Here is a 16,779-nt window from a genome sequence, read left to right on the forward strand (position 1 = left end):
CTGCCAAAGGTGCGAAGGTGTGGGCAGGCAGGGAGGGGTGAGGCATGAGAGCCCTGCTTGCTTTCTCAGTGGGGAGGCTTGTAGTCTGGGGCAAGAGCTCATCCCTGCTCGTAGGGTTGCCTGGATATAAACTCACCCAAAGAAACTTTTTTCTCATACTAAGCTAGAAACCAGACCAGGTCCTGAATATAAAAAAAGCAGTACCCAAGGTCATTCTTGCCCTTCTGTGTCTCATAACCTCATATGAAAAAAAATAATAAAATTATAACAATTAGATAAGTGCTACGTGAAGATATCAACAATGTTGGCTATCTTACAGTAAGTTTTCAAAGTTGTGGAAAGGGTGGAAGAGCATGCCACTTAGTTTTAGGGCACAGAGAGCTGACAGAAGGAAGTTAATGATTGCAAGGTTGGCAGACCAGATCATGAAGGATATTTTATGATATGTGGGAAACTTTGGACTTGATCTCATATGAGAAAATATTCTTCTGGGTACAGCATGAAGAATGAATTGTAAGAGAGGCTAGGTTAGGCTAGGAGTAGGGACTCTGTAATGGTGAAGGCCTGAACTAAATCCAAGCCAATGGAAGGAGGATGAGAGGGACAATGTGTAGAGAGATTTTAAAAAAGAAACAATGACAGAGATATAAAAGGCTGAAGGAAAAACAAAGATCCAGGATGACTCCCACCTTTGTGACTCTAAAAACTGGGCATAATGTGGACCACTAATTAAAAGCAAAACAAAACGCTTAAAAGATTCCTAGATTCTGACACACCATTTATAATTTTAACACAAAAGAAGGCTAATCAGTTTCCTGGGATAAGACCTTTTTCTGATTTCTGGCATGTCTTTTTCTTTATTAAGTTTTGAGGGACCAAATTATTACATTTCCCATAATACTTACCACACTAATACCCCAAATTATAATCCTTTGTATGTGTATAGAGCTTTTAATTTTTTAAGATTCTTTCACAAATGTATTTTATTCTCATAATGACTCTTCCAATTATGCAATATAGGTGTCATTATACACACTAGAAAGTTAGGAAAGCTAAGAAAAAAAGGTGAAATTACCTGCCTACAATGACCAGCAAACAGTACAGCTGGGACTAGAATCCAGCTCTAATGATTTATAATCCCAGGCTCTCCCCCTCCTCATTATTATACCTTTGCTAATTATTGTCTGTAAATGTGAACATAGACCATCAGTGGTGTGCTGGTAAATGTTTAACAACTGACTTGGGGGTGGAGGGATGGACATCCTGCTTTGTAGCTTTTGCCCATTTCCACGGTATAAATACTCCTACTGTGGCTAATGCTATCAACTCGATGTTATTGAATACAGAGTTGGGAAGTGATGCACATAGTTGGGTCTTGCAACCCAGTAGAAGCCAGCTCCAGAACACCACTGTGTCTGAAATAGTTTCTAATATGAGCTGATTCCAAGATTTTATCAGATGAAGTTAGTTATTTAAGGCTACTATTTTCTAATATGACATACCTGGCTAATTTTTGTGAGGCCTCAGCTAAGTGCTTGGCATTTAACATGCTTGAGTATAAAAAGGCAGGTATTGAAATGACCTCTAAGGATCCAGACCTCACTTGCCTTTTGAATCTATAAATAGAAGTAAATGCAGACTTATAATTGAATATTTAATTTTCCAGAATAACATAAATACTTAAAAATAATTTTCTTATGCATGGCCACATAATATTTGATTTGAATTATTTCACATGTTGATACATGATACCAGCATCATAAAACTAGCCAAAGCATTTTTTTATAAATTAATAACAGACATATTAAAATACACAATATAAAATTAGTTTCTTCTTATAAAAATTACAGGTACTTTGACATTTTTAAAGTTTATAGCCAGATGTGTACTCTGACATTTGAAACAATGAAACTCATGGATTATGAGAACACAGTGACTGCAAGAAAGCAAGAATATTTGATGATTTTTAAATGCATAATTTTGAATTTAATAAGAGTCCTACTGAATAGCAATGTGGCTCCTGAAACTAGATTACCCCAGCAAGCAAGGATTTAGTCAGACTCTTGTCCACCACTCATTGGAGGACTATGTGTACTCTTTAGCATCTTTATTTTTAAACGTTAATGTGATAGATCAACAAGGTCATCACTAAACTACATAAAATATGATCACAAAAATTCCAATATAAATCTTGTACCATCAAGGTAAAGGATGGGAAACCAAGTAGAAAATTTTAAATGGTCTTCCTTTAGAGATAATGTGATTTTAAATGAGATTGGAATTTAGGCATTACATTATTTATTAACATGTTAAAGGTTCAAGGAAATGTTTATTTTGTACTACATAAAAAATTTAAAAGCTTACAGTTTTATATGCATAATCTCCATTATGGGCAAAATAGTCCTTGCTTTGTACAATTCTGAATGTATAAACTTCAGTTACTGTGTTTTAGTTAAATAACACCAGTCTCCCACAACAACACTGTAGTCATGATATATTGTGAACAATTGTGTAAAGTACAAACTTCACTGCTAGCTCTTCAATGCACAAATCACTATATAAATAGCAGATGCACATCATCATTAGTGACTAATTGCATCACTTCTTTCAAAGTCTTTTGGTGACTGGTCACTGTACATCTACTATTTAGTTCACCTGTTGACAGCAAAACATGTGGTTGTCTTGCCTCGCCTCCCAGTGATAAGCCTACATGATATTTAACAAAAGTAGGTAATCCAAAGAGGAAATTGGCTGACAGATGAAAGTGCAGAAGGTGAATGCTGGTAGTGAATTTGGATGTGCCGTAAAAGAGCTGATCATGGGAATGTTGACACCTCCTCTATTTGAGAGACTCTAGAGATGCAACAAAGGGAACTTAGTGAAGGTGAACCTAACTGACAAATAAGAAAAATGGTTGTGGTGAAATTATGTCACATAGGAAATGATGCTGCTGAAAAACTTCACATTAAAGGAACTCTCAGAGATATTTCATGACATTGAAAACACAAATGATAAAATGCTGGAACTGATCCAAACTTAGAAAGGAGTATAACAATTTGCTGAAGCATAGAAAAGACATTTGCTCAGTATTTTAAGTTCTGTGATAAGAAAAAGGCAAGGACCATTTAAATTACTCTTGATAAAATTTTTAAAAGAAATCAAATCATTAATACTCAATAATTTTAATGTTTTAAATTACAGTGTAATAAATTAGCTTAACAATATTTTTCATTTTTCTATGTATTTATAGTTGACAGAGAGTAATGTTTTAACATACGTTTAAAGGTCATGGAACAATTGTGATTTTTTTCCCATTGTTTGTTAATATTGGCTTGCACGGTTTCAACTTGCACAATCATTTCTATGGCCCCATGCTATCTTGCAAATCAAGGATTGCCTGAGTATATATAAACACACACAAACACACATGGAAGAAAGCTCATGTTTTATAATGGGTATGTATCACGAAAATGGGGTTGGAATAGCATATTGTGCTAGAGCGAATATGGGTTTTAGACCTAGAAAAGTCTCTGTGCCAATTTTGCTTGTTTTACTTCCTAACTTCAAGGAAGTAATTTATTTTTTCTGATCTTTAATTTCCTCATCTGTAAAACTGGAATAGTAACTTAAAAACTTGGGGGGAAAGAACTGTTCAAAATACATGCTGGAATTCTTCCCAGGCTCTGTACATTAGTGGAAAAGTTTTTGGTCATTTATTTTGGTGGGAGCATAAGTGGAGGAGTGAAGGGGATGAAAGTCTTACTGGCTGCCCTCTGATTTTATGATATATCAAATGAAAAGATTTTTAAAAAACGAATTCTAATATGTTCCTTGGGGAATAGAAAATACTGGCGTAGAAAAAAAAAGAATGGAGAGTTTGGTTGTTTGCTTTGTGGTAAAAGTTAGTAACATAATATCTAAATTTTTAAATGAATTTGTGTAACTTTAAACTACAAGATCTTGTGCGGCAATTTAGTAGAGGTAAAGGGAAATAACATCAAGTTGCAGCATACACAATCATCAAAAAGTTTAGATTACAGAGATACACAAATTTTGTCCTCTAGAAAATTCCATCCAAAGTCCAAAAAGCACCAAAAGTTACGTTACAATTTCTACTTTGATGATATAATTCCCCAGTCATGTTGGAGAGAAAGATTCCAGTCTTGGTTTTATTCAATCTGTTTTAAGCAAGATACTTGAAATTTTGTGTGTTGACACCTTTCTAGGACTCTCTAAAACTTTTATAGCTTGTTAGGTTATTTATATACAGCATCAAAAGCCCTTGACTTAATTATATGGGAATTGCTAGTTTCCAATGACTGGAGAAAATAATATAACTCTAGGTTGTTGCCATTAAAAATGAATGATTTTACCTTATAGTCATACAAGAGTGGAAATCTTACAACTCTATAGGTTTATGTAAAGTGTATAGTTATATACAGTTTCATATGAGGTTATATACAAACATAGATGAGTCCTTTAAAAATTATATAGTTTCAATCTAGGACTAATCCAAATATAAAACAATCTCTCATTACCCTAATGAGAAAACCTAGGAAAAGGGTTTTTAGCTAAATTGAATAGGCAAAAGTTTAGACATGTAAATTTAAAAGTTATATGTCTATATTACCTTTGATAATGTTTTAAATTTAATATTCACTATTAAATTATTCTATTATAATTTAATAGTGAATATTAAAAATAGTGAATATTAAATAGTGAATATTCACTATTATATTATTCACATTTTAAATTATTGCTTTACTCTACTTTCACAAAAAATAATTTTATTCTAACTCTTTATCCTGCATTGGTATTATCAATATAATTATCACCACTAGAATCACTTTTTGAATCACCTGACATAGTTTTCCAGTATCCTTGATTTTCAATTCTAACTACAATACGGCAATTTCTAAAACCAGTGACATTGTCTCTGAAAATTTTGTAGCAAATCAGAAGTATTCTCATACATTAGGTAATGTTTTTATTGGAGATCTTTACAAGTAACCACATACTCTAATTTTTTTAAGTGATCTTCAAAAGGCTTACAATGATGCGGTCATATCTTCAGGAATTGTTTTACACCTTTGCCTTCTTTTTAATTGATTCTGTCAGGAGTCTCCTATAAGAATACCAAACTAGCATAGATTGAAGCCACTTCAGGATAATGTGTCTTCTCTTCTCTAAATAGTAGTTTATTGTTCAGAATAAAGCAACTGAGAAGGCATCCTTGAGTATGAGAAGATTTTTTAAGGGTTCAAGTATAAGGTAACTTTTTTCCTGGGGAGTCTTTTAGGGGAAAAACTACATGTATATGGTGTTTTGTTTAATCTTTATTTAATCCCTCTCCCTTCACATAAATCACCTATTTCAAGCCTTCACTACCCTAAGTTCCTTCACTGCCAATGAATCCCTCCTTCTCAACACAGGGGCTTACCTCCTTCACAGAGAAAAGAGAAATCTTTAAAAAAGGATTTTTAAGATGATTACACTGTCTTTCCCCCAACAAATTAATTTTTCTACTCTTTCACCTGCTCTCATCTCCTCTTTGGTCTCAGTACTGTCTAAAGCTCCCTCCACCTGAGTCTCCAGTTCCCTCCTGCCTTGCTTCATCAGCCCCTCCTCTCTCTACTGCAGCACAAGTAAAAACTCCAGGTGCTTCCACCTCAAAACCTCCCAAACAGTATTTGTGTCCCTTAAGACAGGTGTTTTGACTTTTCTTCCTATCAGTTGAACTTACTGATAATAGTCTACATTCATTCTTTAAATATGTATTATAAAAATTACCAAACATCCACAAAAATAGAAATATAATGAACCCCAAATCAGTTTCCTTCAATAAGCATTTATTTTCTGCCACGTTTGTTTCATCTACGCAGCTGCCCCTTTTTTGCTTAAGTATTTTAAAACAAATGCTGGATATCATTTCGCCCTTACATTCTTCAGTGTGAATATTAAAAAGGACATTTATTTAATAAGCACAATGGTATTATTCACACTTTGCAAAACTATAAATGATTACTTAACATCACATAATACTTAGTCAATTTTCAAATGTCCCCAGTCGTCTAAAAAGTGCCTATTTTGGGGGAGTAGGCGCTCAAACAAGTACCCAAATAAGGTCGCTCATTGTAATTGATTATCCCTATTTCTTTTTAAAATTTATTATCTAGACCGGTAACCGTCATTTTTCTTTCTTCCCCCATCCCCATTCCACTTTTTAAAGACTCTGGGTCAGTTTTCTACAGAAGGTCCCACTTCTTGATTGTTTTGCCCCAGATGGCTTCCTTTTTTTGCTGTGTATCCTGTAAACTGAAATTCAGCTCCTAAGGCTTGATTGCATTCAGGGTTTTTTGTTTTGTTGTTTTGTTTAAGTCGGGGGAATAACTCTCAATAGTTCTTCCTGGCATCATTTCCATCGCCAGACTTTCAGCGACCCCGAGCTGCTGGAGGTGAGGGTGGGGTCCCTGGACCCTGGCTGCTCACAGCTCACACTGCACATCGCACCCCTCTGCTCTGCAGTGCATCCTGTCCTGCGGGACGCCCTTGCTAGCGGGGTACCGGTTGGCCTCTGCCTGCGGGAAGCAGTAAGTGACAAGAGCCTGGAAGGCGGTCGAAGCCAAGGATGCGCCTCCTCTTTCAGCTCCCGCGGTGGCGGAGGTTCCAGCTGCTGAGGAGGCCTATCTCCAGGGCCTCTGATCCCCGGGTTTAATGTCCTCTCCTTCCCGCTGCTGTGTGCTCTTTCTTCTCCCTTCTGTGCTCTCAGTCCTCTGAAACTTGTTTTGACCAATTGTTTGTGTGAAATTGCCTGTTTCCTCTATTTGAACGACCAGGAGTTTTCCTGTGCGGACACTGACCGGCATACCTTCCTCGTAAAGTTCCCCCAACCCTCTCACTTAATGACGCGCTTCAAAACGGTGATTCTCCAATTTCATTCATTCTACACTTACTAGCTGGAATTGTTTTGACTAGAACAACTAACTGCCTCAGCCACTAGAGCTATTTGGTGAGGAAAAATAAAACAAAGCAAAACACTTTACTGGCTAAACAAAACACGGCCTGTCAGCCAGATTCAGCCTGAAGGCCACATTTGCAGCCCTGGTCTACAGCACAGAGTGCATATTTCTTAGCATGGTGCATAGGCCCTGCGTGATGTCAACAGCACCTGCCTTATCTCCCACCAGTCCTTCCGCCTTAACTCCAAATACCCATTTCCAAAATAGACTTACATGTTCAAAAGTCTAGCATGCTCCTTTGGTCTCTCTGCCTTCCTCAGCAATTCTATTTATCAGGCATGACATTTTCCCCCTGTCTGCCTGAAGAATGTCTACTTATTCCTTCAGATTCTGCTCAATTATTACCTTCTCAGGAAAGTCCTTCTTGATATTTGCAGGTAGAGTTAAATTAAATACCTCTTCGTCTACATGTTGTCATATTTATTCCCCATCACCACTAGGACAATGCTAGCCTCTTCCTTCCTTTATTTTATAATTTTTTTTTTTTTTTGAGACACAGTCTCCCTCTATCACTCAGGTAGGAGTGCAGTGGCATGATCTTGGCTCACTAAAGCCTCCACCTCCCAGGCACTGGCAATCCTTCCACTTCAGCCTCCCTAGTAGCTAGGACTACAGGTGCACACCACCAGGCTCGGCTTAATTTTGGGGGCCATTTTTTCAGTAGAGACGGGGTTTGGCCATGTTGCCCAGGCTGATCTCGAACTCCTGGGCTCAAGCAATCCACCCACCTTGGCCTCTCAAAGTACTGGCCTTACAGGTGTGAGTCACCATGCCTGGCCCTCCTTTTCCTTTCGTTTCTCCTTTCTCCTTTTTGTTTCCTTCCTTCCTTCCTTCCTTCCTTCCTTCCTTCCTTCCTTCCTTCCTTCCTTCCTTCTCTCTCTTTTCTTTTCGTTTCTTTTTCAAGTTGTATCACCTATTTGAACTTAGGATTTGGAAGGCAGGGTCCATTCCACAGCATCTTGCTTGATAAAGAGCTTCATATTGGTTAATCCGTACGTGCTTCGGCTGCTTACAGCTGAAGGAGATTATAAGCAGAAGTGGTGAAGTAACTTCATACAGTAAAGGATACAGGAATGTTTTAAAAATAACTCAATGGGCTTCTCTCGGTACCAATGGTTATCATGCAGGATAAACAGTATAACATGAAAAATATAAATTCTAATTGGTAGATATCCAGCAAAATTGGGAAAACCATTAAGCCATACTTCATCACAGCTTAGAAAGGACTACAGGTTCTTTCTGCCAGCTATACTCATTAAAAAGAATATGATCACTAAGAAAATAATTATACAATTGGACAGAAAAAATAAGATAGAAAAATGAAAGAATGGCTAATGTAAAAATATATCAGACAGTACTTACTTTTTTGTAATCATTTTAACAACAGAATGTAAATAATCTTCATTACTCTAAAAATGAGAAAAATATTTTACTGAAACTAAGCATGTCTCATAGTTCTATTAATACAACTTCTTTTGCTACATATAAATCTAATTTGTGTGTGAAATGCTATTGCATACTAATAATTTTTAGTGTTTTTACTTTCTATTAAAAGATTTAAAAATATCCATGTTCTTAAAAAATTTGACTTGAATACAGGAAATATTTCATTCTTTTCCCTTTGCCACAATGTGAAATATTACAATCCAAAATTTACCCTTAAATTTATATACTTTTTAGATATATAAGATTACATAAAATATTATATATCTAAAGATGTTTTTAGTCTAAAAATGGTCATCTGTGAATGGCTTATTTCAAACAACTACTCCTTTTGAAAACTACTCTTCATTTCCTGAGTATTATATGACAATAAGCCTACTTCAAAATTACATCATATTTCTCCAGACAGTATTACTCAGCTTGATTCCAATTTGCCTTCCTGACAATAAACTTTGTGGACCTGCTCTTCATTGAACAGTGCGCTAGATTAGATGACAGACTCCTGCAAAAAGCTTTTGATGGTTTACCCTCTTGGGATAATTTTTAAAAAAATAACGTGGCATTTACAAGATGTAGCCTCAGGGCCCATAAGCATTTCCAACACAAAATTTTGAAAATATTTTGAACAATCACAGTTCTGTTGTTGAATCTGAGTACTCTGAAAGGCAACTCTAGATGTATGTACTCAGGTTTCTTGTTTAAAAATAGCAGACATGATGTAGATAAATCTCTTATAGTACTGGAGGCTCTTAACCATAAATTGAATCATTAGCTATTTGTCTCACACTGAAACATATTGTATTTTAAACACGGCGTCAAAGTCATATTTCGTAAGCATTTTATATTCCATTTAAAAATCTTCCTCCAATGTTTTATTACAAATCTAAACATTTTAGACAGACATGGGTTGTGCTAACAGCAAATAAGTAAGGATTCTAATATATAAAATAAGGCAATAGGATGAAACATTTTGGAGATTATGTGCATACTTTCTTTTAATATTAATAAATTAAACTGGGATGCAATGATTTTAATCTTTCATTTCTATTTTTCTAATAGTTCTTCTATTGCTTGTTCTGTTTCGAGTTTTTTCTGCATTCAAAGACATCTTTATTATAGAAAATTCAAGCAATAACAAAAAGAATAAAGAAAAGATAATAAAGGTTCTTCTTAATCCCAGCATTTAGAGATAACCATTATTTATATTGATGATATCTTTATATCATTCCAAAGTTTGCTCATTTTCTTTTTTCTTCATATATTTCATTTGTTTCTATATATTTTCCCCTCCCTCCATCTTTTCCTTCTTTCCTTCATTCCTATTTAACATAATGATAACATTATGTTAAACATGATGCTTTACAGCTTTTTTTCACTTAACAATAGGACATGAACATCACTTTGTATCAGTGAGTACAGATATTCATTCTTCTTTCAATGACTATCGAGTATTGCATTGTGGAGATATATAGCAAGGTATTTTATCAGCCTCTTATGGGTAGATATTTTGGTTGTTTCCAATATTATGCTTTCATAACCCAACAATGCACTGAAAATCCTGAAATAATTATTTATTGAGCACTTACTATGTGCCACACATCACTCTAAGTACTTTAAATATATTAGCTAATTTCATCCCCCAACAACCTTATGGCATAGGCAATATGATTATCACAATTTTAGAGATAAAAGAAAATGAGGCATAGATGAATTAAGTAAGTTGCTCAAGTTCACTGGTTGGGAAGTAGAGAAGCTGACATTTTAACCTTGGACTTCTAAATCCAGAGTCTGTTCTCAACTTCCATACTATACTGCCATATTTTTACTGGTTTTTGTTTGCTTGTTCATTTGTTTGTTTTTTGAGACAGGGCCTCGCTCTGTAGCCCAGGCTGGAGTGCAGTGGTGCAATCATGGCTCATTACAGGCTCTACCTCCTGGGCTCAAATGATCCTCCTGCTGCAGCCTTCCAAGTAGCTGGGACTACAGGTGCACACCATCATTTCTAGCTAAGCATTTTTTTTTTTTAGTAGAGATGGGGGTCTCGCTATGTTGCCCAGGCTGATTTCAGACTCCTGAGCTCAAGTGATCTTCCTGCCCCAGCACCATAAAGTGCTGGAATTACAGGCATGAACCACCATGCCCCACCATTTTTACTGTTTTTATACACTTGCCTGATTATTTCCTTAGGATAAGTTCCCAGAATTTGAATTTCTGAGACAAAGTACATATACATTTAAATTTAACACACATTGCCAAATTTCTCTCCAAAAAGTCTTATGGTGCTAATATTCACACAGTACTATATAGTTTTAAATGGTATTAGGAACAGTGGAAATCTTTGGGGTCATTAGAGAGATCTAGGCTTGAATCTGCTCTGTTAATTACTGGGCAAGTTACTTACCTTCTGTAAGATCTAGGTCCATTATCCCTAAAATCAGGACAGTAATAGCTACCTCACAGGGATGTAATGCAGGTTATAAATGTGTATAAAAATCATCTACAATCTCTCAAGCATAAGAAAGTCTCTCAATCATAGGTGTTGTTGCTTAATACAAATTATCTCTTGATTCATATACCAAACTCTTATTGGACTGGGCACATTTTATTACTAGCATCGATTTTAATAATTTTAATTTTGTTTGTAAATATAACTTCTGAGCCATATAGTAGGCAGGGATTCAGGGATTCTATATTAAATGCAATTCAAATTTAGCAATCTTATATTTCCCACATGAAGCCATTATGTTGTCCTTTTAGATTTACATATTTAATTCCTTCTCAGCAGTATCGAAGAAGTATTAAGTATGTTGTCTGGTATCCAAAAAAGGCATCTATGGGTAGCTTTTTAAAATTAAGAAAACAGTTTTCAACATGGTACAATGATTATTACCATTGAGGAAGGGAATTTGGAGACCATAGGGTGAGGATAAGGAGAGCTCCTTATTTTGTATACGTACATCTGCAACCAAGACAATCACTACAGAATCCTTCTCTTGGGAGAGCGTCATCCTGGAGACAACAGAGGTCAGTGTCTGTTTCAGGTAACTATAATTTCCTCTGTTAACAGTGGAAATACCCAGCGCAAAAGAAACTGTGGACATAGGAGTATGAAATCATCATTCCATACCACAGAGAAAAACATAGTTTACCATTCATTCTATGCTTATTCCTATGTTTGGGTTAGTCTTACGGTAACAAAATGAGTGTTTGAAACTGTATTACAAAAATAATCCAAACTATGTTAATTTTTATCACATATTTCATTTTCTTTTTGAGGAAATTTGCAGTGGATTGTTAGTAAAAGCACTAAACAGACTCCAAGATGTTCTTATGTTAAAAGATTTTGGTGTAGCAAAAATAAAACTAACCACTTTCCACTTACTATAGGTTCATCTAACTGAGTATAAAATGTCACATATTGGTCGATTCTCTCTTCTTTTCCTAACAAGACACTGGAATCCAAAACAGGAAAAAATTACTATGAAATATTTTCATCTGTGAAAGAATGTATGAAGTAATTTCTAAATGATTTGATGGAATGAATCCACATCTCTAAGTAACTTTTGTTGCCCAAGAATAGCTGGAGCACTAGGGCTCCAAGATGTACACATCTTGGCTGTACAGGTGCAGCTAAGATTGAGGCTACCAATCGTAACTATACTGGTACCTGGCCATATGGGCTTAGGCAAGATACACAACATCTCCAGCCTTATGTCCCCCTCTTTAAGATAGGGATAAGGACTTCCAGAATGGCTAAGTGAGAAACTCAGAAAATCCTCTTTCTAGAAAGCGGTAATAAAACTGCAAAAAAAAAAAAAAAAAAAGGTCAAAACAGTCATTTCAGGGCCCTGATAAACTGAGAAGTACTTACTTAAGAAAAACTATGGAACTTTGGAAGGAACAGCTGATTGCTATTGAGTTTGAACATATCTTCACATGTTTATTGGCTTTCTTTTTTTTTTTTTTTTTTTTTTGAGATGGAGTCTCACTCTGTTGCCAAGGCTGGAGTGCAATGGCTCAATCTCAGCTCACTGCAACCTCCACCTCCCGGGTTCAAGCTATTCTCCTGTCTCAGTCTCCCGAGTAGCTGGGATTACAGGCATGCACCACCATGCCCGGCTAACTTTTGTAGTTTTAGTACAGACAGGTTTTCACCATGTTGGCCAGGCTGGTCTCGAACTCCTGACCTCAAGTGATCTGCCCACCTCAGCCTCCCAAAGTGCTGGGATTACAGGCATGTGCCACTGTGCCTGGCCACTTATTGGCTTTTGGCTATTCTTTTTTGTAAAATCCTTGTTTAAGCTATTGCCCATTTCTCTAATGAGTTGTCAGCATTTTTCTTATTGATTGTATTGATACTCTTTATATATTCTGAATACGAACCCCTTGTCAGTTATATGTGTTATTAAATATTATCTCCCACTCTTGGTTCCCTTTTCAATGTTTTGCCCCTTGATGAAGAGAAATTCTTAATTGTAATGTAGTGCAATTTGTCATCCATTTTCTTTGTTGTTTGGGTTTTCTGGGTCTTGTTAAGAAATCTTTGCTTATCTTCAGGTCATAAAGACATTCTTCTGAGTGATTTTCTAATAGTTTATTGTTTGCCTTTCATATTTAGAGCTGCAATCCACCTGGAATTGATTTTTATGGATAGATTGAGGCAGGAATCAAGTTTCAAGCTGTAAGATACAGTATGAAAGCAATTCCTGGAATGGCTTCCTATGCCTTACAATGCATTTACAAGAATTTAAAAGGCCCTTAGTGACCTGGTACTGATCTATCCCTTTTTTTCAACTACCCACACTTTTCGAATTGACCAAATACCACTCTTACCTCGAAGCCTTTGCACACGCCATTCTTTTTGCCTAGAATACTCTTATTCCTCTAATTTCCTTTGATAATTCTACTTATTTCTCAGGATTCAACTAAATATTAGTCATTTTGATCACAAATTGATGCTTAATCCTTTCACCAGCTATGAATTCTTACCTTATCTTTCATAGTACTCATCACTCCTTTTGTTGTAACTCATTCCTATCTAGAATGTCAGCTTGATGACAGCAGACACCTTCATGTGTGCTTATATTATAAATCCAGCACTAACATAAAGACTGATACATGGTAATGATAATAAATTGAAATTGAATAAATAATAAAGGGGCAAGCCCCTTTATTATTTGGCCTGTGTCCATGGTCTTGCTACTAATACCCTCCAGCCCCAATAGTGCATGCAAGACACACATCCTTTCTAGGCCTTCTTGCCATCTGACTTTTGCATGTTTCTTTTCCTCTATCTGGATGACCACCCTCTACTTTCCGCTATCCACCACCTACCACTTCCCTACTTAGTCTACTCCAATTCTTTTGCCCTTCATGTCACTTATATGACACTTCTTCCAGAAAGCATAGCATAGGATTTTGGCTTCACCCTGGTATTTCCCTTATCACAGCACCAGTCACTTTATATTATAATTACCTTATCATTTGTCTCTATGAAGGTGGGGTCTATGTCTTATTCACCCCATATCCCAGGGCCTAAGAAGTGCCCAGAACAGAGTAGAAGCTTATTAAATGAGGAGACGTGGAAGAATTCACAGAGAAGTTGTCATTTAAGCTGAAAAGTCATATTGGATAAGGGAGTCACATTACAAATCAGTTATGGTTTGCCAGAGGAGGTATGTTCATTATAGGCAGTGGTTAGCACATGCAGAATATATGAAGCTTGTCCTATCTGTTCTCAAAGAGCTTGGCCTATTTGTGAGAACTGCAAGTGGTTTGTGGTTTCTGGAAAGGAGAGGCATGGCAGAGACTGAGATTTGAAAGATACAGCCTTTTCTGCATATACCCTGCCAAGGGGCTAACTTCACCTCATGTGCACTGAGGGTCTACTGAAGGATTTTAAGCAAGAGTCAAGTATGATCAGTGATGAATTTTACTAACATATCTTCGAGGAAAGTATGAAGAATGGATTGACTTTGGTGATACTAAAATCACAAGATAAATTACAAATATGTTTCCATAAACCAGGCACAAAATGATGAGGGGCTCAATAAAAAATAGTTATAGAGGGGCTACAGAGAGCAGAAATTATCCAAGATCTATTAGAATACAGAATAAACAAGACTGATGATGGATTCCCTAGTAGGCCTTGCCACAGGCTTCAATCCTCTTACATATGTTTCATGTGTTAGGATTTTTTTAGTTGCCTGGAACAGAATCTTCCTTAAATCCCTTCTGGTAATTGAGAAAAGCCACCAAAAGGGCCTCAAAAGAAGGATAAATACGTACACCATGATTGGAGATCAATAAATTGTTGGGGAATTAGAAAATTATTCTGGATTTAACACAGCTCTGATAACTGGGTTATCTCAACCCTCCAACCCCCTACACAAGGAGGTCTATTGCTCCACCCAAACACCACCATGTCTCTCTCTCCTTCCTTTCACTCTGTGTCATGGGCTTCCACTTACATTTGCTGATGCTTATGCAAGGTTATGTTTATTCTTGGTGTCTAATATCTTATCATTTCTATGCATTGTTTTTCTTGCGTGTGTCTTTCAACTTTTCCTCATCCTATAAACTACAGCTTTTGTCTAGCATGTACTTTCTCATACATTCACACAACACATATGCATGTATATGTATATACAGGTAAAGAGTTTTACAAGTATGAACTCAAGAAGTTTCTTAATTTCTCTAAGCCTCAGTTTTTTCAGGTGTAAAACAGAGATGACAGTAATAGGCCCTATTGCATTGGATTGTGAAGATTAAATGAGATAATGTAAGAAAACATAGAACTCAGTAAGTGGAACACAGAATGCAATAGATAAACGATGTCATCAGAGGCATATGATACAAAACAACACTACTTATTCCCAAGGAACTGCCTAGAGCAGAGGTCAGCAAACTTTTTTTTTTTTTTTAAATAAAGGGGCAGATAGTAAGCATTTTTGGCTATTGGGTTATACCATCTCTGTTGCAACTACTCAGCTCTGCCATTGGAGCACAAAAGCAGACATAGACAACAAGTAAATGGATAAGCATAACTATGTTCCAACAAAACTGTATGTTAAAACATGGAGCCAATGGGCCTGGCCTAGAGTGACTCACTCACTGGAATGAGTGAGGTTTATAGGAAAGGCAGGTATCCTGAGACTTAGCTTAATATTCCTGCTTCAAACTCCAAAGCTTCTTCTTGTCTTGTATACTTGGTGAACTTGAACTCATTTGTCAAGGCTTACCTCAAACATCACCTGTTGTATAAGGCTATTACTGACCTTGGTCTCCAGAAAGACTGGGAAACAGTAAAATAACCAGGTAAGAATAGATTTACCAAAAACAACGAGAAAAGATTTGCCAAACATTTGGCATATACTTAATGTATATTTGACTTATATTACTTATTTTCAAAGCATTTGTGTTATGCTAAATTTGAATTCAAGTCACCAAGTGTTTATGAAACTATTATTTTCTGCCAGACAATATACTGACTTCCAGTAATCCAAATTAATGCCAGATAGGCTGTAGTCTGCATATCAATCTAAGATAATAATGGATTACATCTTAAAACTTAAAAGTATGTCCCCAAAGATCAAAATACCTTTATTTAATTTTCCAATTCTAAGTTTTCTTACCACCAGTTTTCCCTTTGCCAATGATTACATCAGGATAAATTCTACCTTCTTTCCTTAGATGAGGAAAAAAGAACTTTAAGTCTTCAAATGTATTAGATACTGTTTCATTTTTATTTAATATGTCTGCTTTCTGTGCAACTGAAAGAAAAAAATAATGCTTCTGAGTATATGATCATAGGGATTTTTCTCCCCCTGGAATAATTTTTTCAAAGAGGTGTTAATAAACTCACAGATTAATTTGGCATTTAATATATAAAAGAAATACTCTAAAATGTAAATTATTAAAATAATAATGCTAAATATAGCTCAACTATTATTTATTCATATTTATTTATAAAGTAATATGTAATTTAAGCCTAGAATTATAAGATACACAGAGGACAATGGAACTGTCAGTTCCAAATGAAAAAAGTATAACTGAAACATGCTGTAATTGGCTTACTCTGCTACTTTGATTAATATCACTTTATTAAATTTGTATCTTTATAACTTTGCTTTGTAGCCCCTAAAATTTAATGACTATATTTGTAAACTTCATTAGAAGTTGCCTCTACAATTTTGAAAAAGAAAATGTTAGAGGACGCACATTGCCCAATTTTAATTCATAATACATAGCAATGTAGTCAAAACAGTGTGATATTATATAAAAAAAGATATATAAACAATGGAACAGATCATAGAAT

The 16,779-nt window shown here is 35.7% G+C and overlaps 1 protein-coding gene across 16 annotated transcripts in view; it reads right to left on the reverse strand.

The window, feature by feature from the left end:
• MGAT4D (MGAT4 family member D) overlaps window positions 1-16,779 on the reverse strand; it is a 56,032-nt gene that overhangs the window by 21,132 nt on the left and 18,121 nt on the right. For 10 of the 16 annotated variants that reach the window (XR_938697.3, XM_011531654.4, XM_011531650.4 and 7 more), the window contains 4 exons: window positions 16,097-16,234; window positions 11,420-11,553; window positions 8,382-8,428; window positions 1,503-1,616 (listed from right to left, as the gene is read on the reverse strand). Coding sequence is in view for 15 of the 16 variants with exons in the window: in XM_011531654.4 (XP_011529956.1) it covers window positions 1,503-1,616; window positions 8,382-8,428; window positions 11,420-11,553; window positions 16,097-16,234 (433 nt within the window). In the remaining variant the exon portion in view is untranslated. The remainder of the gene's footprint in view (window positions 1-1,502; window positions 1,617-8,381; window positions 8,429-11,419; window positions 11,554-16,096; window positions 16,235-16,779) is intronic. The other 6 variants (XM_011531665.4, XM_011531664.3, XM_047449648.1 and 3 more) reach the window with 3 other exon arrangements.

The sequence above is a fragment of the Homo sapiens genome, chromosome 4 (assembly GCF_000001405.40).
Source record: "Homo sapiens chromosome 4, GRCh38.p14 Primary Assembly".
Classification (NCBI taxonomy): Eukaryota; Metazoa; Chordata; class Mammalia; order Primates; family Hominidae; genus Homo; species Homo sapiens.